The sequence below is a fragment of the Homo sapiens genome, chromosome 4 (genome assembly GCF_000001405.40).
Source record: "Homo sapiens chromosome 4, GRCh38.p14 Primary Assembly".
Taxonomy (NCBI): domain Eukaryota; kingdom Metazoa; phylum Chordata; class Mammalia; order Primates; family Hominidae; genus Homo; species Homo sapiens.
Window position 1 is genome coordinate 109,619,799 of NC_000004.12, and position 24,088 is coordinate 109,643,886.

The following is a 24,088-nucleotide window of genomic DNA, read 5'->3' on the forward strand; positions in this document are numbered from 1 at the left end:
ATAATAATAGTTATAGTAAAGTGATATTGTGGCATATATCACTTTACACAAGCCTGCTCATCTTTAATGCTGTGTCAGCCTTGTGAAGTAGGTACTGTTATCCCCATTGTATAGATAAGGACACTGAGGTTTAGAGAAGTTAAGGTACCTACGTCACATAGCTATTGAGTGACAGTGTGGATACCCATCCCTGCCTGCCTAACTGAGCTCTGCCTTTAAACTCTTCATGCCAGTTCCCTGTCTCATCAGATAGATTCTGAGGCCTCTAGGCATCAGCCGGATATCCCTAAGGACAGTGTTGGAGGAACTGCTGAGTGGATTCATGGTCAACTACCAAGTGTTCTGTTCCTTCTCGTTTTGCTTACAGGCACAACCAATGTCAGACAGATGCCTCGATTACTTCTAACTGCAATGTAAATTTAAATTCTGATATCCCAAAACAGGTTTTCAGAGGAGCAAATCCAGGCACACTAACTTCAGCAACAGGTCAGAGGTGAGGCCTGTCTGTACATCCTGATTTCTTTCTTTATGGCACACTGTGGGCAGGAAATAGTTCCTCACTGGACAGTACTAATTATAATAAATTATTGTATCAGAATTTTATTCAATTGTATCATAGAAGGATTTTAGTTGCCCCTCCCTTGACCCTAAAATGTATTGTACATGTGCCCTAAAGAGCCATTTATGAAGAAACTTCAAGTAACATACTAGATATAACAGGAGAAGGTAGTAGAAGATAAGCGTTTGCTGAGATCCTCCGAAGCAAGCTAGGTGTTATAATCTCATGAATGTATAAATTAGCATTCAATTGTTATCATAACTGCCTCTGTGCATTAATGATCCTATGGCAATAATTTTGTTTTTCTCTTTGTTATTGATGTAAAGAGACTGGCAGTTGATTAAAAGTAAAGAGTATTGATTACATTAATAACATATTGTCTTTATGATGCTTTATAATTCACAAAGCCTCTTCCCCTAAGCTTTTGAGCAACTCCAGGTAGTCAAGAGGCAACTTTATCCCTACTTTTACAGGTTATGGGACTGAAGCTCAGAGAGGCTAAATAACTTGCTCAAAGAACAAGAACTTCAACATTCTTCTTCTTTTTTTTTTTTCCCCCAAGATGGAGTCTCTCTCTGTCACCCAGGCTGGAGTGCAGTGGCTCTCTCTTGGCTCACTGCAACCTCTGCCTCCCAGGTTCAAGCAATTATCCTGCTTCAGCCTCCTGAGTAGCTGGGATTATAGGTGCATGCCACCACGCCCGGCTAATTTTTGTATTTTTTTAGTACAGACGGGGTTTCACCATGTAGGTCAGGCTGGTCTCGAACTCCTGACCTCGTGATCCACCTGCCTTGCCCTCCCAAAGTGCTGGGATTACAGGTGTGAGCCACTGCACCCAGCCCCCTCATTCTTCTAACTTTTAAGCCACAGTAAATCTTACCAGTTTGATTGAATTTCTTGTTGTTTTTCAATGGCTACTAATAGACTGAATTGGTTGGAAAGGAAGAATGGGATGAGGAGTAATGATTAAGATACTATTAAGAGTTTAGTTGATTCTATAACTGTTACAAATTATACAATTGAAGGCTACTCTTAGAGTTGGGTGGTACAAAGAGCTTATATAATCATCCTCCATCTTTACCCTGCATATTTGAGGAAAAAAAAAGGATTATCCTAATTATTTCTAATATATCACACAGAAATGTTACAAGGTAGATGAATGCCAAATGACACTTTGAAATGGCTTGGAAGAAAAAGGACATGAATTTAAGTCAGCAGTACTGAATTATCATACCCTGAGAGAAAGGAACGTAATGTTCTACAGTGGCCGTACACAGAAGAAATAAAGCAAATTTTATCCCTTAAGCTTCTACACTGTAATAAAATAAGGGGCAGAGTATATTAAATAGAGCATTATTATTTTGTTCTTGTTCCTGCTTAATGTTAAGTCACAAAATTATAATGTCACTATAAGTTATTACCAAGGAATAATTAAATCACAATGAAATGACTAGTGTACTTACACCTCTGTTGTTCATCCATAGAAAACATGAAACTTATAATGTGGGGATTTTAGGACTTTTTTTTATTATTTTATTTTTTGAGATGGAGTCTCACTCTGTCACCCAGGCTGGAGTGCAGAGGCATGATCTTGGTTCACTGCAACCTCTGCCTCCCAGGTTCAAGCAATTCTCCTGCCTCAACCTCCCAAGTAGCTGGGATTACAGGCACCCGCCACCATGCCCAGCTAATTTTTGTATTTTTAGTAGAGAGGGAGTTTCACCATGTTGGCCAGGCTGGTCTCCAACTCCTGACCTCAAGTGATCTGCCCACCTTGGCCTCCCAAAGTGCTGGGATTACAGGCATGAGCCACTGTGCCTGGTGAGCATTTTTAATAATTATATGTATATGTTTCTGAATTATAAAAGGACAACATGCTGCTTGTAAAAAGAACTTGAAGAATCAAGTGTTAGAAAGCAAAAGACAAAAGTCTGTTCTCTACATTGTCTCTCACTTCACACATCCTGTGGTAACCTGTAGTGTATATTTGTTTATTTTAAAGAAAAAATTTTTAATAAGGAATAGAAAATCTAATGTTTCTGAAATGTGGGATAAAATATGTAAAATAACCAAATTATTTATTGGCCAAGAGATTTCAATGGATGGAAACTAAAAGTTAAAATCTACTAAGAAAGATATCTGGAACTTTAGATTTTGAAAAGCAATTCTGGACTGCAAGGATGTTTCGTTTCTTTTAGAAATGTCAGTTTGATTTAAAAGTGAGGATCCTCTGAGGCACTTTAAAAACCAATAATGTAGATTGTAATTTTGATAAAATCTGCTCTAATCACTTCAAGATTAAGTTATATATATGCCTCCATGGGTGTGCCCACAGCACCCCAAACTTAATCCATCATACACCTTATCACATGGTCCCTGATTTATGATGGCTTCGACTTTATGATGGTGTGAAGCAATGTGCATTTGGTCGAAACTGTACTTTGAATTTTGATCTGTTCCTGGGTTAGCAATATGCAGTACAATACTCTGTCTCGATGTGGGGCAGCAGCAGCAAGCTACAGCTCCCAGCCAGCCACGCATCATGCAGGTCAACAACCAATACTCTGCTGTGTATTGTGTGACTGGCGTTTCTTGGACATTGTGTTTCGCGCTTTTGCATCCTGTCATGTCTACAGTATGCTCATCTATGCCTCCTGCTTCTGGTGAGAAGAAGAGGAAGGCAATTACTCTTGAGATGAAACTCAAGATAATCGCCCTGCATGAAGACGGCAAGGGATTAATGGCCATTGCACAAGAGTTGGGACTTTCACGATCCATGATCCTCAACCATCTTAAAGAATAAGAAGTGAATCAGTGAGGCAGTGAAATCGTCAGCATTAGTTAAATCCACTGTCACGAAGAAAAGAGCTTGGCTGATTGATAATATCGAAAAATTACTTGTCATGTGGATGTAAGACCAGATATCGAAGGGCATACTACTTACTGATGATGCCAGCTAGGGCAAGAAGTGTTTTTGATTACACTAAAAGAGTGAATGAATGTGTCGATGATCCTATTATACACAAGTGTTTATGGCAAGTCATAGGTGATTCCAGTGCTTCAAAAGGCATCATAATTTTCTTAATGTGAAGGTCAGCAGAGAGTCAGCAAGCGCTGATATTGAATGTGTCAAAGCTTTTAGGAAGAGCTGTACACGATAATTGTGGATAATAAATATTTCCCAGGACAAATATTTTATGTAAATAAAATAGGGTTGCTCTGGAAGCAACCTGTCAAGAACTTAAGGCATTCAGACTGTGTATTGCTGCTTTTGGGTGGAAATGTTGCAGGGTTCAAATTAAAGCTTTTCCTAATTTACAACTCAGGGAACCCAAGAACACTCAAGAATGTGAGCAAGCATTCGCTTCTTATTTATTATCACCATAACAAGACACCCTGGAGGACCTCAGCATTGTTCGAAGACTGGCTTTTGAACTGTTTTCTTCCACAGGCAAGAGAATATTGTAAGCAAAAAACGACTTCATTCAAGATCTTTTATTTTTATTTTTAGAGAGACAGTCTTGTTCTGTCACCCAGGCTGGAGTGCAATGGTGTGATCATAGCTCACTGTAACCTTGAATTCCTGGACTCAAATGATCCTCCTGGCACAGCCTCCCAAGTAGCTAGGATCACAGGTGCACACCAGCACACTTGACTGATTTTTAAAAAATTTTTTGTAGAGTCAAGATTTTACTATGTTGCCCAGGCTGGTCTTAAACTCCTGGACTGAAGCAGTCCTCCCACCTCAGCCTCCCAGAGCACTAGGATTATAAGCACGAGCCACTGTACCTGGCCCCATTCAAGATTCTTCTGATCTTAGACAGTGCTCCAGGGCACCCACAGCATATAGGTGACATGCATTCTTATGGAAAGTTATGAGTTTGCTGCCAAACACAACCACACTCAACTCATGGACCAAGGCACAATAGCTGCATTCAAAGCACACTATGCCAGGCATTTGCTCCGGCTGTTGAAGTGAATGAATCTGGCTGAATGCTCCTAGAGTTCTGGAAAAGTTTTAACATTCTAAATGCTATCCAGAATATCACTGGAGCATGGAAAGAAGTCACACAGCAATGCATGAATGGCATTTGGAAAAAAGTTTTGAAGACATGTGAACACATTCAAAGGCCTTAGCAAGGTTCTGCTGTTGATGAAACAGTAACAAGATACTAGTGCTTGGAGAATAGCTAGAATTGATGAAGAGGATATTTATTAACTTCTTGGCATTGAATCTGAAGAGCTTTCCAATGAGGAGATAATCAAACTGGAGGAAGAAAGAAGTTGAGAAAGAGGAAGAAGTTATACCTGAGGCACCAAGAAAGTTAACGGCAAAGAAACTGGCAGAGATATTTGCCACTATCAGCAGTGCCATTCAGAAGTTAGAAGAAAGGGATGTCATTATTCACAGGAGCTGACACACAGTACAGGATGCTCTTGCTTGCTACAGAGAAATATATAATGAAAAGGAGAACAAACTGTATAGTCCAAACCTGATGTCGGCCAGGCTGGTGGCTCACACCTGTAATCCCAGCATTTTGGGAGGCCAAGGTGGGTGGATCATTTGAGGTCAGGAGTTCAAGACCAGCCTAGCCAACATGGTGAACCCCCGCCTCTACTAAAAATACAAAAATTAGCCAGGTGTGGTGGAGCATGCCTGTAGTCTCAGCTACTCAAGAGGCTGAGGCAGGAGAATCATTTGAACCGGGGAGGTGGAGGTTGCAGTGAGCTGAGATCGCACCACTGCACTCCAGCCTGGGTGAAAGAGCAAGACTCTGTCTCAAAAAACAAAAAATTTAAAATTTAAAAATTAAAAAAACTTGATGTCTTCCTGAAGAACACTATGCCTGCTAAACCATTAACAAGTATCGATGCCCCAGTGCCTTCTCCCAGCTACTCTCAGGCCTCATCAGAAGAGAAATTAATGACCCTGTTGCAGTAGCATCCCCATCATCCAGCAATTAATTTTAGTTCAATGCTTCAAACATTCTTCAGGCCCAGTATGCATTCACCTGTGTATGTTACTTAATTGTGAGTATCCATGCAGCTATCCTGTTTTTCACTTTCAGTACAGTATTCAATAAATTACATGAGATATATTCAACACTTTATTATAAAATGGGCTTTGTGTTAGAAGATGTTACCCCTGTAGGCTAGTGTAAGCATGCTGAGCACATTTGAGTTGTAAGCTAGGCTAATCTTTGAAGTTTATTTTAATAGGTTAGGTGCATTTTCAGCTTATGATATTTTCAACTTACAGTGGGTTCTTGGAATGAACTCATCATAAGCTAAAGAGCATCCATATTACAATTACAATCACTCTTTGATCTCATGGAGTAGGGACTGTATCTTGTTTACTAGTAGATTTCCAGAGTCTAGTGCATTATATAGCAAATATAATAAATGGTCAATAAATGGTTTTGGGAGAAAGAGAGGATACAGGGTGAGGTACAGTATCTCATCGTTCTGAGGAATGCAGTTTCCATTGAGTATACAGTAGTCAGAAAATTATTTCTTTAGGTTGTCTTAAATTATCTGCAAAGAAAAATTTTTGTTTAGGTTGTTGTAAGTCTTTTCCTTAATGATTTTTCCTTAATGCATTCGTCCTCAGTGTTAAAGCTCAGACATGATTCAGTTTTAGCCTTTTTCTATCATCATTTTAGTTACAAATGGGTGTCCTAGATTAGGGTTTCTGTTGACCAGTGTCCTACAGTCTGAGGTAACTCCTCAAGTGAAATTTAGGTTCTAAGACTGTGACAAAACTGGCTTGTTAGCACTGTTTACACTAAGCACTTGATTCTCTCCTACATAATTTCCTTCTGGACTAATTTTACAGTTCTCACCAATCCCAAATTCCTTCCTGAAATTCTTAGAGGAGATATGTGGAAGATTTTTCTGGCAGAGAAAATTTACAAGAAAAAAAGTTCTTATCACAAATTTTCTTTTCCAGTGATTATAAATAAGCTGTTTTAAAGAAGAGTGTAAAAGCCTTTATAGAAGAGATTTAGTAGATTTAATACTCAAAAATTTAATATTCAGAAATCATGGCTGTAGTACATAGGTGCTATCATCTCTGTCGCTACATAGATAAATAGTTATAATTCAGAATACACAGACTCATGAAAAGTCCATTGAGAATCAGGATTTTTTTTTTTAATTAAAAAGAAATCCTGGGCCAGGCGCAGTGGCTCATGCCTGTAATCCTAGCACTTTGGGAGGCCGAGGCAGGCGGATCACCTGAGGTCAGAAGTTTGAGACAGGCCTGGCCGACATGGCAAAACCCTGTTTCTACTTAAAACACAAAAATTAGCCAGGCATGGTGGCATGCGCCTATAATCCTACCTATTCGGGAGGCTGAGGCAGGAGTATCAGTTGAACCCAGGAGGCGGAGGTTGCAGTGAGCTGAGATCATGCCATTGTGCCATTGCACTCCAGCCTGAGTGACAAGAGTGAGAGTCCGACTCAAAAAAAAAAAAAAAAAAAAAAAAGGAAGCCTGGATAGCGTTCGTACTTGCAAGACTGTAGTAAACAACTTGAGGAGCATTAGCTGCATTTTGTCACATTATAATTAAAACAGGCTGATTTTCTTTCTTTTAGGACAAAACAAATTTTATTTGGAGATATTTGTTCAACATTAAGGGGTAAATAGAACAAAGAAGGACAAAATATAGGCATTAATATGTTAAAATTGCTAATGTCATATGTTGAATTAGTGGATGAATTATGAACATTTGCTAGGGATATTTAGTTTTCAGTTCTAGTCTTCTATTATTTACCACTATTTCTAAATTTAGTTTTTTAATATTTTCAGAAATTTCCTCAATATACTTTATGCCCAAATAAATCCTAATTCTTCACTTTTTTTGTGACTGACAGAAGATGACCAGTGTTTGCTGGCATGTATCTGGAAGCATTTTGGAAGGAATGACAAAAGGAGTAGTTTAGTTTTTTGTTGTTGAAGAATTAAATTAATCTCAATAATTACTTGAGGATAAGGTGGTATGATACATGATTTCAGGGAATTGAAAGAGTCTAGGTTTTGCCTCCTCAAATGGAATCTGTCAAGCATTTTAGGAAATCAACAGCTTTTTGCTGTGCTCCCATAGCAGTTTTTCATAACTCTATTACAGCAACTGTCACATTATCTTGTAGTTGTTTATACAGTCATTCCTCCATTCAGCAGATATTTTCATGAGTGCTTGCCATGTGTCAGGCGTGGCCCTTGGTGCTGCAGATAAAGTTGAGAACACAGAGGCAAGATCCTTACTCTCTAGACTGGGCACGGTGGTTCACACCTGTAATCCCAGCACTTTGGGAGACCAAGGTAGGCGGATCACCTGAGGTCAGGAATTCGAGACCAGCCTGGCCAACATGGTGAAACCCTGTCTCTAGTAAAAATACAAAAATTAGCCAGGTGTGGTGGTGCGCACCTGTAATCCCAGTTACTCGGGAAACTGAGTCAGGAGAATCAATTGAACCTGGGAGGTGGAGGTTGCAGTGAGCTGAGATCAGGCCACTGCACTCCAGTCTAGGTGACAGAGTAAGACTCTGTCTCAGAAGAAAAAAAAAAAAAAGAGGATCCTTGCTCTCTTGAAGTTTTAGTAGGGAGAAGCCAATAAAAAAGGGAACATATAACATATAAGTCATTTGTTTTCAGATTGAAATAAGAATTAGGAAGATGTTAGAACAGGAGGGGTATAGGACAAAGAGTCCTGGGGCAGGAGCAACATTGGGTAGGATGGTCAGGAGAGGCCCTCTTGAGGAGGCAACATTTGAGCGAGTTCTGAATGATAAGGAGTTGGTGGTACAGAGATTTGATAGAAGGGCATCCCAGACAGAAGAAATGGCCAAGTGCAAAGTCCACAAGCAGCAATGAAATTGTATTTAAGAATGTATGTAAGGAATACATTAGAAGGCCAGTGCGCCTGGAGAGGAAAGAGCGAAGGAAAGAGAAACAGAAGATGAAATAAAGGAGGTAGGCAGAGGCCAGACAAGGCAGAGATTTAATTCTAAGTGATAATGGTGGGATATTGAGTTTTTATCAAGGGAGTAACAATCTGATTTATGCTTTTAGAAGATCACATTAGCTGTTACATGGGGAATGATTGCAGAGGGCAAGAGTAGAAGCCAGGAAACCAGTTAGGAGGCAAAGTAGTCAGGGAAAGATGGTGATGGCTTGGATAAGGGTGGAGACAGTGGAAATAAGAACAAATTTGATTGATTTGGAGTTTATTTTGAAAGCAGATTTGATAGCACCAGCTGAGGGATTGTATGTTTGAAAGAGAAAGCCTGGTTTTTGGCTTGAGCAGCTGGGTGTATGGCGGTACCACTTACTGAGCTAGGGAAAAGTAGGTGAAGGGCTGAGTATAGAGAGAAAATAATTTCTACCCTTCTGCAAAATTGAGCTTTTCTTGAGAGAGGGCAAAGTGAGGTTCTAAAAGGTTAAGGACGTGGGCGCAGGCCCTGCAGATAGAGCCAGGACGTCGATACAGGCAGTCTGCCTCTGAAGCCTGCACCTTGCTTGTTTGTCTTTATGGTTAGAATTATAGACTGGAGTCTAGGAGGAAGGGCATTCAAGGCAAAGGAAGCCACGGCCAAAGGTGTAGAAGCCACCGAAGAGTGAAATGTTTGGAGCAGCAGTTTAGGACTTGGTGCTAAAGAATTATTTGTGGGACCTGTTAGGTAGGGTCTTAGCGAAATTTAGATTATGTTTTCTTCATCTCCCTAAATTAAAATTGAGTCAGTCCTCCTTAGAACTTTTCTTTTATTTTTTCTAATTTTTTATTTTTATTTTCTTGAGATGGAGTCTTGCTCTATCACCCAGGCTGGAGTGCAGTGCTGCAATCTTGGCTCACTGCAACCTCTGCCTTCTGGGTTCAAGCGATTCTCTTCCCTCAGCCTTAAGAGCTTAAGTTAGAGCTTTTGTCCAGCCTAGACTGTTTACTAGAAATTTGATTTGAGGAACCTGAAAATATAGGAATAAAAACCAGTGTTTTTTCTATTGTCTTAACAACAATCAACACAGAAGACTTCTGTGACCCCTAGTCACCAAGAATTGCATGGAGATTTCTCACCACCAGCCATCAATCAGTTAATTCTGCAATGGATACCAGCTGGGTATCCTCTAATTCAATTTGATTCTGACACTGTATACCTGGAGATAGCTTCCCATGATAATCTAAAGACACTAGTTGTTTTACCTATGCTGCTGACTGACTATAAATCAGGGTTCCCACTGTCCTCTCCTCGGGTTCTATTAATTTATTAGAGTGGCTCACAGAAAACTCAAGGAAACACATCTACTCGTTTACTATATAGGATATTACAAAGGATACAGATGGAGAGATGCATAGGGCAAAACATGTGGGAAGGGTGTGGCACTTCTGTCCACTCTCTGGGGATGCCATTCCCCCGGAGCATTTATGTGTTCAACTACCTGGAAGCTCTCCAAACACAGTCCTTTTGGATTTTTAGGGAAGCTTTATTATGTAGGAATGATTCATTAAACGTTTGGCCATTGGTGATCAACTTAACCTTCAGCTTCTCCCCCACTTCCTGGAGATTGGGCAGTGGGGCTGAAAGTCCCAACCCTCTAATCCTGCCTTGGTCCTTCTAGTGAGTAGCTCCCGTCCTGAAGCTACCTAGGAGCTGGCAGCTATCGGTCAACACATTAGCATATAAAAGACACTTACCACTTTGAAGATTCCAAGGATTTTAAGAGCTTCTGCCAGGAAACGGGGAAGTAGACCAAATATATATTTCATAGTATTACAGGAAACATAGCTGCTTTTTTTCTTTTTATCAGATTAAAAAAGAATTCTTGTTGGGTGCGGTGGCTTGTGCCTATAATCCCAGCTACTTGAGAGGCTGAAGTGGGAGCATCACTTGAGGCAGGAATTCAAGACCAGCATGGTCAACATAGCAATACCTTGTCTCTGAAAAAATAAAATAAAAAACAGCCAGATTTCGTGGTGCAAGCCTGTAGTCGCAGCTACTCAGGAGGCTGAGGAGAGAGGATCACTTGAGCCCAGGAGTTGGAGGCTGCAGTGAGCTATGATCATACCTCTACATTCCAGCCTGGGTGACACAGTGAGACCCCATCTCTAAAAAAATTTTTTTCTTCATTATCTAAATTTTTTTTTCTTGGGAGTTTTCAGTCAGATAATATAAGTCAGATGATACATAAATGATTTCAGCTGCAAAATTCTGTTTTTTGTTTGTTTGTTTGTTTTTGTTTTTTGAGATGGATTTTTTGCTCTTATTGCCCAGGCTGGAGTGCAATGGCATGATCTTGGCTCACCGCAACCTCTGCCTCCTGGGTTCAAGCAATTCTCCTGTCTGAGCCTCCCGAGTAGCTGGGATTACAGGCATGCACCACCACGCCCAGCTAATTTTGTATTTTTAGTAGAGACGGAGTTTCTCCGTGTTGGTCAGGCTGGCCTTGAACTCCCAACATCAGGTGACCCACCCGCCTCAGCCTCCCAAAGTGCTGGGATTACAGGCGTGAGCCACTGCGCCTGGCCTGCAAAATTGTTTTTTTATTCTTGCATTAAATGTACTGCCGTTCCTGGACTTCCTATTATACAAGCTGACTCATTATTTGAAGAGTCCCTGAGCTTCACCATTTCGCAGACCTGACAACATACAGAATTCTTTTTGATTCTTTATATGATAGTTTATTCTCTTTTTCACCTTTTCTGCCTAGATACTCAATTTCTGGACAGAAGTCAGTGGCAACTCAGATGAGATCAAGCTAGTATAATTTGCCATAGAGGATAATCTTTCAGAGGAAGCAAGTTATTATATAAATAATTTCCGCTCAATTAGAAACTGAGTATGCACACAATCTGTACAGTTCTGTTTGTTGTGATGTTTAACACCACACTACACACGGGCACTTGATTTGTGGCTTCTGATGTCAACACATTTCTAGTTGATGAGCTTTACTCATCTCTCATGTTTTGTGACTCTAGGAATCTGTTTTTCTTTTCAACTATCACACCTCTTTTATTTTTCATCTCCCAACATCAGATAACTAGATAGGAATGTGAAACTCCTTCACATAGCTCTTTTTTATTCAGAAAATAAATAATAGAAATTGAGTGCCTGTGGCATATGTACTAAATATTGTGGTAAATATTAAATATATGCTTTGGACACAATACATGTTCGCAGGATTTTCCTTTAAAAAGTGCAGTGCAAAGTGCAGTAAGGAAAAAAAGAGGAAGTATAGTTTCAGTTATTAATTTATTATCCGTCAGCCCCAAATCTATAGTTCTTTGCCCTGCTTTGTGATATTGGAGTTGGACTCTGTCAACATTTCTCCTTTACCAGCTGTGCAGCTTTAGGCTCTGTCAGTGCAGGACCTGGGGAGACAATGCATGGTGGCAACAGTAGATCGGTACTGTCCTTCCAGTTCTGTTTCACCTTCCTTTATTCAGCCCAGGGGTCCTCACAGATCAACTTAAGCAGCACTCTCAGACCTTTCTCTCCCCACCTGCAGGCTGTTTCTCAGGCAGCTCCAGCCCAGTCTTCTGGCTGGTTTCCTCCCACCAAGAGGGCTGGTCTAGAGAACAGCTTGGTCCTGTTTACACTGCTGACAAACGGCAGGCCCCTTTCACAGCCCACCTCTGGCTCTTTGGCGCTGATGCTTGTGTATTTCTCATGTAGCCAATAACCACACCCTCTTTGAAGAGGTCCGAATCTCAGCCTAGATAAATGTTATTAAGGAGCACTAAGATCCAAAGAACAAAACTGAAATAATACATCCCTCCATTATTGAAATTTATTTACAGCAGAGGTCAGTGTACTTTCTCTGTGAAGGGCCAGATAGTAAATATTTTAGGTTTTCTGACCACATATGTATCTGTTTCATATTCTTCTTTTTCTTAAACAGTGTTTTGAAAAGATTAAAAAAAATCTTAGCTCATGGGCCATGGTTTGCTGAACGCTGGTTCAGAGTATGCATAAAGTAAAATCTTGCTTTTTTCAACTAGAGAAATCTAATCTAAAATAGTGAGAAGTCTGAATTTTAGACTTACCATTTATTGTTGCATAACAAATCTCTCTAAAATTTAGTGGTTTAAGACAGCAGTAATAATTTATTGCTCTCACAGTTTATGTGGGGCAGGAATTTGGGAGCAGATTACCTAGGCGGTACCAGCTCAGTGTCTCGAATGAGATTGTGGGTGCTGGTTAAAGTGGTGATGATTTTTTAGTTTTTAAATTTTTTATCCCTTTTATGTCTTCTGTCATTGCTTTTTTTTTTTTTTTTTTAAGGTGGAGTCTCACTCTGTTGCCCAGGCTGGAGTGCAATGGCGCGATCTTGATTCACTGCAACCTCCACCTCCCGGTTCAAGTGATTCTCTTGCCTCAGCCTCCCAAGTAGCTGGGACTATAGATGCACACCACCATGCCTGGCTTATTTTTGTATTTTTAGTAGAGACAGGGTTTCGCCATGTTGGCCAGGCTGATCTCGAACTCCTGACCTCCAGTGATCCGCCTGCCTCGGCCTCCCAAAGTGCTGGGATTACAGGCATGAGCCACCACACCTGCCCTGTCATTGCCAATTTTTATATCAGCACTATCTTGATAGGTGTCAGGGTGGAATGGCCAAGTGAATGTCAAGCCCTGAGGCTGATATGCCAAAATAATGATTATGAAACTACAATATAGGTAAGAAGGTGTGAGGTTAGAAAGTAGAGATGTAAGGAGGTGACATGTGATAGAAATACATACATTGTATTATAGGAAGGGATCCAAAATGAAATGTATGACTATAAATTTATAACAGAAGCGACAGAAGTGAAGAAATACCTACTGAAAAAATAAAATTTAAACCATTCCAGTTTTCAGATGAAGTCTTTTGTTTTGCGTGTATTTGGATAGAACATAATATTTTATAATGAATTATTATTATTTTTTTTTTGAGACAAAGTCTCGGTCTGTCGCCCGGGCTGGAGTGCAGTGGCGCGATCTCGGCTCACTGTAAGCTCCGCCTCCCGGGTTCACGCCATTGTCCTGCCTCAGCCTCCTGAGTAGCTGGGACTACAGGCATGCACCACCACGCCCAGCTAATTTTTTTTGTATTTTTAGTAGAGACAAGGTTTCACAGTGTTAGCCAGGATGGTCTCGATCTCCTGACCTCATAATCTGCATGCCTCGGCCTCCCAAAGTGCTGGGATTACAGGCATGAGCCACTGCACTCAGCCTTTAATTAATTTTTAAATGAAACTATAAGTACATCACTAAATATGCCTGAAGTAGAATAAATGTAAAGCATTTTATGTGTTGATTTGCACGACTTGAATAGAGTTGCCAACTGTGCTACCCCATGTGGCTCTCAGCCTTCTATCATCTCAGACACCCAGGCATCAAAGCAAGGAAGACAACTTTGTTAGCACCATCTGGCTAGACCGCCATGTAGATTCTCTTCCTTTGAGACCGTGCTTGACAATAATTGGCTTAGATTAGGAAAAAAATTGGTATATGTTCTTATCTAAGAGACACCACCCCCACCCCCACCATCCCGCCCATGTACAGCTTTTCTTCCTAAATTATTTCTTTCTCTGGGGCTCTATTACACTTTATTTATTCTTTTTATTATCACGCTGTACTTTCATTGTATTATTCCTGTCCTAACTCTTATTATTATAAAGAAATCTCACCAAGGAGAATTTAAATCTCATTTCAGAGGTCCAGTCCAGATTTAGCTGAGAATCTTGAAGAATAACATTCATATAGAAAATGTATAGTCCATAAGTTTAATGAGTGATCATGCCATGCAGTTAGAATCCAGACAAAAAACAGAATGCTGTCAGCACCTTAGAAGTGTCTCCATGCAGGCCAGGCACGGTGGCTCATGCCTGTAATCCCAGCACTTGGGGAGGCCGAGGTGGGTGGATCATCTGAGGTCGGGAGTTCGAGACCAGCCTGACTAACATGGAGAAACCCCATCTCTACTAAAAATACAAAATTAGCTGGGCGTGGTGGCGCGTGCCTGTAATCCCAGCTACTCAGGAAGGCTGAGGCAGGAGAATCGCTTGAACCTGGGAGGCGGAGGTTGCAGTGAGCTGAGATTGCGCCACTGCACTCCAGCCTGGGCAACAAGAGCGAAACTCTGTCTCAGAAAAAAAAAAAAAAAAAAGAAGTGTCTCCATGCTCCGTTTTAGTCACTACCTAAGCCCAGCAGTGTTACCACCATTGTGACTTCCAACACTGTAGATTACTGTTGCCTCTTTTTCAAATTTATATGAATGGAATCTCATATACTCTTTTGTGTCTGTCTTTTTTGCTTAACTTTGTGAGATTCAATCATGTTGTTGCATTGTTACTGTATTCCATCTGATGAAGATGCCATTATTTATTCATTGTGTGGTAGAAGTTATTAAATTATTTTAGGCAGATAGAAAGGAAAAGGGGTCCTTGGACATTTTCATTTTTAAAGCAGCTCTTTTTAAATTATTATTATTATACTGGGATACATGTGCAGAACATGCAGGTTCGTTACATAGGTATACACGTGCCATGGTGGTTTGCTGCACCCATCAACCCGTCATCTACATTAGGTATTTCTCCTAATGCTCTCTCCCCTAGCCCCCCAACCCCCTGATAGGCCCCAGTGTGTGATGTTCCCCTCCCTGTGTCCATGTGCTCTCACTGTTCAACTCCTGCTTATGAGTTAGAACATGTGGTGTTTGGTTTTCTGTTCCTGTGTTAGTTTGCTGAGAATGATGGCTTCCAGCTTCATCCATGTCCCTGCAAAGGACATGAACTCATCCTTTTTTATTGCTGCATAGTATTTCATGGTATATATGAGTCACATTTTCTTTATCCAGTCTATCATTGATGGACATGTGGGTTGGTTCCAAGTCTTTGCTATTGTGAACAATGCTGCAATAAACATACGTGTGCATGTGTCTTTATAGTAGAATGATTTATAATCCTTTGGGTATATACCCAGCACTTAGAGCCAGGCCAGCAACCTTTAATATGCAAATGCCAGGCATTAGAAACTGGGTCCACCCAAACGTGGCAGTTCCTGCGGCCTTCTTACCCTTGCCCCACGTTCCTGGCAACATAGCCGCCCCCACATATCCACGTGTGTAAAACATCATGGTGCCCTTCCTTTGCATATTAAAAGGCTAGGGTAGGAGGGCCAGCTTTTTTGCAGGCTATGTAAATGACATGCCTGGTCAAACCAATCCCCTGTGCCCTATGCAAATCAGACACCGCCTCCTTCAGTCTCTGTATATACCTGGCTAATTTCTGCCCCACTTGGGGTCTTCTCTTTCGGCTTTGGAGCCTCCCTCCCTCTCTCTCTACAAGGGAGCGTCTTCCTTCCTTCCTTCTCCCTTCCTTCTCGCCTATTAAATTCTCTGTTCCTTAAAACCACTCCACGTGTGTCTGTGTCTTCTCATCTAATTCAAGGTAAAACAAAAAAGCCCTGGTGTTTCTCCACTCATCCGAGCCGTATCATTTGTACTGATGATGAAGATTTGTGTGGTTTCCAGTTTTTGCTTATTATGTAAAATGCAGCTCTAAACTTTGTTTGTCTTTTAAGAACATATGCAATTAATTATTTTGGTTTACACTTAGGAGTAGAATTTCTGGGTCATTAGGTATATGTGTATTTAGAGATACTGCCAGTTTTCCAAAGTGTAGTTGACACTCCCAACAGTAGTGTACAAAAGTTTCATTTTGAGCATAGACTTAGTCTCAATCTAATTCCGGGACTGGGTATCTAACTGACCCAGCTTGGAGCTGGTATCTGGTCAATTACAATGAGGGGATTAAGGGTCACATAGTACAGACATGGTTTTGGGAGGCCCACCACTGCTGCATTCTAGGTGGAAGTAGAGGCAATTTCTAAAACATCGGAGATTGTATGAACTGGGTAGATACCCTAAAAGGTTTCAGTCACATATATACAAATTAGATGCACAAGGAGAGGCTCTGGACTGGAGATACAGCTTCAAGCCATCAGCAAAGTAATGTAGTTGAAGCAACGTGACTAGATGAGATTGCCTAAGGACACTGCTTAGAGTGAGATAAGAGAGGGTAGCCTCTGTTAGAACTCTGGAAAACACCAACATTTAAAGGATGACAAGAAGAGGAATCTCTAAAGTAAACTGAGAAAATATAATCAGAAATCCAACGGAATGTGATGTCATGAAAGTTAAGAAAGAGAATGTTTGGCCGGGCACAGTGGCTCACACCCATAATCCCAGCACTTTAGGAGGCCGAGGCGGGCAGATCACCTGAGGTCAGGAGTTCGAGACCAACCTGGCCAACGTGGCAAAACCCCATCTTTACTAAAAATACAAAAATTAGCCTGATATGGTGGTGCCCACCTGTAATCCCAGCTACTTGGGAGGCTGAGGCAGGAGAATCGCTTGAACCTGGGAGGCGGAGGTTGCAGTGAGCCAAGATCGTGCCACCGCACTCCAGCCTGGGAGACGGAGTGAGACTCCATCTCAAAAAACAACAACAAAAATGTTTCAAGGAAGAGAGAGTGATCAAAAGTGGCGATTGCTTCTGCAAGGTCAGCAATGAAAAGCTTTCATATGATCTAGAGACCAGTAGTCCAGTGGCCTTCTGAGAGTAATTTTAGTGAAATGATGGGGCAGAAGCCAGATTGCAATGGGTCAGGAATGTGTGAAAGATGAGGAGATAGAGATAATAAATGTCACCAACTTGTTCAAGTCATTTAGCTATGGAAGGAAGAGGAAGCAGGCATAGAGAAAGGGCAGTCAGAAGGCAGGAGAAGCTTGAGCAGACTTACCTGCTGATGAGGAAGATGCAGTTGAGAAAGATACTCAGTAAAGTAAGGTCACTTGGAAGGAGATATGATCCCAAGCTGTGGGGAAATGTGTCAGCCCTATGGGGACACAGAAAGACTTCTTCCAGTGTAACCATAAGGGAGCAGGGAAAGATGACTGGTTTTGTGGCTGAAGTTTGAAAGAGGCTAGTCACTCAGTACATACTAGGTGTTCAGTAAAATTAGCTGAATTAATTGAGGACTAAATGACTTTATACAAGTATCTACCCAGGGGAAAAGAAGTCATTATACGAAAAAGATACTTGCACACCCTTGTTTATTGCAGCACAATTTGCAATTGCAAAACTATGGAACCAGCCCAAATGCCCATCAATCAACAAGTGAATAAAGAAAATGTAGTGTACACACACACACAATGGAATATTACTCAGCCATAAAAAGGAATGAAGTAATGGCATTTGCAACAACCTGGATGGAATTGTAGACTAATACTCTAAGTGAAGTAACTCAGGAATGGAAAACCAAACATTTTTGTTCTCATTCATAAGTGGGAGCTAAGCTATGAGTACCCAAAGGCGTAAGAATGATACAGTGTACTTTGGGGACTCGGGAAAATGGTGGGAGGGGGGTGAGGGAATATACTACACACTGGGTACAGTGCTACTTGGGTAATGAATGCACCAAAATTTCAGAAATCACCACTAAAGAACTAATTCATGTAACCAAATACGACCTGTTCCCAAAACCCATTGAAATAAAATATAATTAAGTAAATTTTTAAAATGTTTAAAATGACTGTATATAGGCATACCTCAGAGATATTGCAGGTTTGGTTCCAGACCACTACAGTAAAGCAAGTCTTGCAATAAAATGAGTCACAACATTTTTTGTTTGTTTTGTTTTGTTTCCTAGTGCATATTGAAGTTATGTTTACAGTCCAGGGCCTGGTGGCTCATGCCTGTAATCCCAGCACTTTGGGAGGCCAAGGCAAGAGGATCACTTTAGCCCAGGAGTTTGAGACAAACGTGGGCAACATGGTGAAACCCCATGTCTACAAAAAAATACAAAAATTAGCTGGACATGGTGGCGCATGCCTGTAGTCCCAATTACTAGGGAGGCTGAGGTAGGAGGATCACTTGAACCCAGGAGGTCAAGGCAGCAGTGAACTGAGATCATGCCAGTGCACTCCAGCCTGGGCAACAGAGCGAAACCTTGTCTCAAAAAGTTACATTTACTGAACTGTAGTCTATTAAGTGTGCAATAGCATTATATCTAAAAAAAAAAAAAAAAAACCATACATTAAGATACTTTATTGCTAAAAATGCTAGCAATCATCTGAGCCTTCATCAAGTCATCTTTTTGCTGCTAGAGGTAGAGGGTGTTGCCTCAATGTTGATGGCTGATGACTGATCAGGATGGTGGTTGCTGAAGGTTGGAGTGGCTGTGGCAATTCCTTAAAATAAGAGAACCATGAAGTTTGCTGCATCCACCAACTATTCCTTTTATGATCGATTCTCTGTAGCATGTGATATTATTTGATAACATTTTACCCATAGAAGAACTTCTTTCAAAATTGGAGTCAGTCCCTCCAAACTCTGCCACTGCTTTATCAACTAAATTTATTCTAAATCCTTTGTTATCATTTCAGTGAAATTCACAGCATCTTCACCAAGAGTAGATTCCATCTCAAGAAACCACTTTCTTTGCTCAGCCATATGAAGCAACCCCTCATCTGTGAAAGTTTTATTATGAGATTGCAGCAATTCAGTCCCATCTTTAGGTTCTACTTTTATTCTAGTTCTCTTGCTATTTTTACCATGTCTGCAGTTACTTCTTACACTGAAGTCTTGACCCCCTCAAAGTCATCCGAGAGGGTTGGAAATAACTTCTTCAAAACTCCTGTTAATGTGGATATTTTGAGCTCCTCCCATGAATCATGAATATATTGAATGGTATCTAGAATGGTGAACCCTTTCTAGAAAGGTCTCAATGTACTTTGCCAAGATTCATTAGAGGAATCACTATCTATGGCAGTTATAGCCTTACAAAATGCAGTTCTTAAAGAAGACTTGAAAGTGTAAATTACTCCTTGATCCATGGGCTTCAAAATGGATGTTGTGTTACCAGGCATGAAAACATTAATCTCCTTTTACATTTCCATCAGAGCTCTTGGATGAACAGATACGTGAGCAGTAATATTTTGAAAGGAATCCTTTTTTTTTTTTCCCCCTGAGCAGTAGGTCTCAACAGTGGGCTTAAAATAGTAAACTGGCCTGGCACAGGGTCTCACACCTATAATCCCAGCACTTTGGGAGGCCGAGACGGGTGGATCACCAGGTCAGGAGTCTGAGACTAGCCTGGCCAACGTGGTAAAATCCTGTCTCTACTAAAAATACAAAAATTAGCCAGGCATGATGGCAGGTGCCTGTAATCCAGCTACTCAGGAGGCTGAGGCAGGAGAATCGCTTGAACCTGGGAGGTAGAACTTGCAGGGAGCCGAGATCATGCCGTTGCACTACAGCCTGGGCAACAAGAGTGAAACTCCATCTCAAAAAAAGAAAAAAATATTCAGTAAACCATGCTGTAAACAGATATGCTGTCATCTAGGCTTTGTGGTTGCGTGTATAGAACACAGGTAGAGTAGCTTTAGTGTAATTCTTAAGGGCCTTAGGATTTTCGGAATGGTTAATGAGCATTGGCTTCACCTTAAAGTCACCAGATGCATTATTAGCCCCTATCAGCCCCAACACAGCGTTATTAGCCTGTCCTTTGAAGCTTTGAAGCCTTGAAGTCAGGTGTCACGTGCGTTTGTATGAAGAGAGTCCACCAAACAGGCTTTGTGTGAGTAACAAGGCTGTTTATTTCACCTGGGTGCAGGCGGGCTGAGTCAGAAAAGGGTGGTGAGATTATCGTTAGTTCTTATAGGTTTGGGATAGGCGGTAGAATTAGGAGCAGTTTGTGGGCAGGGGGTGGATCTCACAAGGTACATTCTCAAGGGCAGGGAGAATATTACAAAGTACCTTCTTAAGGGCAGGGGAATATCTCAAAGTGCATTATCGCAAGGGCGGGAGGGTGTATTGTCATAAGGTCAGTTGATCAGTTAGGGTGGGGCAAGAACAGATCACAATGGTGGAATGTCATCTTTTGTGGTTCTTCAGTTGCTTCAGGCCATCTGGATGTATATGTGCAGGTCACAGGGGATATGATGGCTTAGCTTGGGCTCAGAGGCCTGACACCAGGCATTGACTTTTCCTCTCTAGCTATGAAAGTCCTAGATGGCATCGTCTTCCAATGCAAGGCAGTATTGGAATCTGAAAATCTGTTGTTTAGTGTAGCCACCTTCATCAATGATCTTAGCTAGATCTTCTGGATAACTTGCTCCAACTTCTACATCAGTACTTGTTGCTTCACCTTGCACTTTTATGTTATAGAGATGGCCTCTGTCATTAAACCTCATATACCAACCTCTACTAGCTTTCAACTTTTTTCCTACAGTTCTCTCATTTCTCTCAGACTTTACAGAATTGAAGAGAGTTAGACCTTGCTCTGGCTTAGGCTTTGGATTAAGGGAATGTTGTGACTGGTTTGATATCCAGACCACTAACACTTATCATGTTTCCATATCAGCAATAAGGCTATTTCACTTTCTAATCATTCGTGTGTTCACTGGAGTAGCACATTTAACTTCCTTCAAGAATTTCTCTTTTGCATTCACTACCTGGTTAACTGGTACAAGAAGTTTAGCTTTCAGTCTACCTCAGCTTTTGACGTGCCTTCCTCACTAAGCTTAATTATTTCTAGATTTTGATTTAAAGTAAGAGATATGCCACTCTTCCTTTCATTTTAACACTTAGGGACCATTGTAGTCTTATTAGTTGGCCTAATATCAATATTGTCCTTAGGGAATAGGGAGGCCCCAGGAGAGGGAGATGGGAAGGGAAAGGTTGGCAGAGCAGTCAGAACACATACAGTGTTTTTTTTGTTTAGAGGAGTCTCACTCTGTCGCCCCGGCTGGCGTGATGTTGGCTCACTGCAAGCTTCGCCTCCCGGGTTCACGCCATTCTCCTGCCTCAGCCTCCTGAGTAGCTGGGACTATGGGCGCCCGCCATAACACCCGGCTACTTTTTGTATTTTTTTTTTTTTTTTTTAGTAGAGACGGGTTTTCACCATGTTAGCCAGGATGGTCTCGATCTCCTGACCTCGTGATCCGCCTGCCTCAGCCTCCCAAAGTGCTGGGATTACAGGCGTGAGTCACCGCACCCGGCCTAACACATACAATATTAATTAATTAAGTTCCCCATCCTATACGACCATGTTTCCTGGTGCCCCAAAATAATTACAATAGTAACATCAAAGATCACAGATCACCATAACAGATGTAATAGTAATGATAGTTTGAAATATTGTGAGGATTACTAAGATGTGACAGAGACAAAGTGAGCACATGCTTTAAGAAAAAATGGTGCTTATAGACTGGCTTAGAAGCAGGGTTACCACAGCCCTTCAATTTGTACAAAAGGCAGTATTTGTGAAATGTGATCAAGTGAAGCACAATAAAATGAAGTATGCCTGTATTTTCAGGCATTGTATACTGCCATTTCATTTGTCAGTTCTCTGTGTATTCAAACCTCCTGTGAAGGAACCTTCTGATTTCATATTCATTACAACAGAGGGTGTAGCAACTTAGAATTCTGTGCTTTAGAAATTCAGATGTGTTACTACCTTCATGTAGTTCCCATTTGTTTCCCAGTTTGGAATTACTACCTTTGTCACGAAAAGATCTTCAAGTACTTCTGCATTATATAAAAGTGGTGACTATAAATAGATGTATTCATTTAAATAGTTTATGTCTGTATACAAAATTCTATGGTCTAGATGCATAGCTAAAGAAATTATCTTTGGCTCAGGAAAATAGATAATTGTATTGATTTCACAAAATACTGTGACTGCATTTTTGGAGTTGTTTTTGGATCCTGAAACATATGATTTTGAAGATCTTTAGTGGTGATAAGAATTTATCTTTTCAAGGGGATAGTTTTTGACAAGCAAATATTATGAACCAAGTCTGTTGCTTTTTCTTACCCGGGTTTCAGCTTCTGTCTTCAATCTTTTTAAAGTAAATTACATGATTTAATGATATCTGTGGAATACTACTGAGTGAGCCCTGAAACAGCAAGAATAATGGAGTTCTTGCCCATGGATATGGAAAGGGCAAATCGTAGCACCATATTATTTTCGAAAGCCTCATACTGAGATTATTGTCAGATATGGTGCTTTTGTGGCAGGGTAATTAAAGTTGTCCTTAAAAGGCTTATATTTAGAAGTAATTGTTTTTATTTATTTTTCTGTATCAGTGTGTTAGCTGTCGCTTTTATACTAAGAAATCTTAAACTGCTATCCTCTGATTTATAGTCATTAGGCAAATTATGCTAGTCCCTGCTGTTCATTATGTATCAGTATTTTTTCTTCACCCCAGGTTAAAAAGTTGTTTCCTTTTTGAATCAGGCTGCTGCATCTTTTTTATTTTCTGCTTGAGCTCAACTTCTTTTTAGGCTATATTTTCTACTTGATACTTGACATTTTCCTAATGCTTCTAGAATAGGAGGCTGGATCACAAAAAGCTGCTATTTCTACTTTAAAGAGATGAAGACTGAAATTTTTTTTTTAACTGTTCTTTTTGTCATACTCCCTGACATATTGTTTTTTGGTTAAATGATATGTAGTAGAGTTATTGATATACAGTACTCTCAGCTAGATTTTTTTTTTTTTTTTTTTTGAGTTGGAGTCTTGCACCATCACCCGGGCTGGAGTGCAATGGCGTAATTTTTTGTATTTTTAATAGAGACGGGGTTTCACTGTGTTGGCCAGGCTTGTCTCAAACTCCTGACCTGGTGATCCGCCCACCTTGGCCTCCCAAAGTGCTGGGATTACAGACGTGAGCCACCGCACCCGGCCACTCTCAGCTAGATTTTAATACGGGAAACAACTTACCATTTTTTTAAACATCCAAGAGAAAAAATATTATTCAAACTTGACTGAGTAGGTGAGACTTATTTTCTTTTATTTTTGAGATGGAGTTTCCCTGTCGCCCAGGCTGGAGTACAATGGCGCAATCTTGGCTCACGGCAACTTCTGCCTCCGGATTCAAGCAATTCTCCTGCCTCAGCCTCCTGAGTAGCTGGGATTACAGGTGTGCACTACCACACCCAGCTAATTTTTGTATTTTTAGCAAGGACGGGGTTTCAGTATGTTGGCCAGGCTGGTCTCCAACTCCTGACCTCAAGTGATCCACCTGCCTCAGCCTCCCAAAGTGCTGGGATTACAGGGATAAGCCACCATGCCTGGCCTTATTTTACTTTTTTATTTTTATTTATTTATATTTTTGAGACAGAGTTCCACTCTCGTCTCCCAGGCTGGAGTGCAATGGCGCAATCTTGGCTCACTGCAACCTCCGCCTCCCACATTCAAGTGATTCTCCTGCCTCAGCCTCCTGAGTAGGTGGGATTACAGGCATGCATCACCATGCCCAGCTAATTTTGTATTTTTAGTAGAGATGGGATTTCACCACGTTGGCCAGGGTGGTGTAGAACTCCTGACCTCAGGTGATCCGCCCACCTCAGCCTCCCAAAGTGCTGGGATTACAGGCATGAGCCACTGCACCTGATTTTATAAATAACTGATGCTTGTTTTTAAGCCATCCAGTCTGTAGTACATTGCTACGGCAGCCCTAGGAAACAAATACAAACACT

At 40.9% G+C, this 24,088-nt stretch overlaps 1 protein-coding gene across 2 annotated transcripts in view; it reads left to right on the forward strand.

The window, feature by feature from the left end:
- Nucleotides 1-24,088, forward strand: part of MCUB (mitochondrial calcium uniporter dominant negative subunit beta) — a 128,474-nt gene that overhangs the window by 59,553 nt on the left and 44,833 nt on the right. The window lies entirely within an intron of this gene.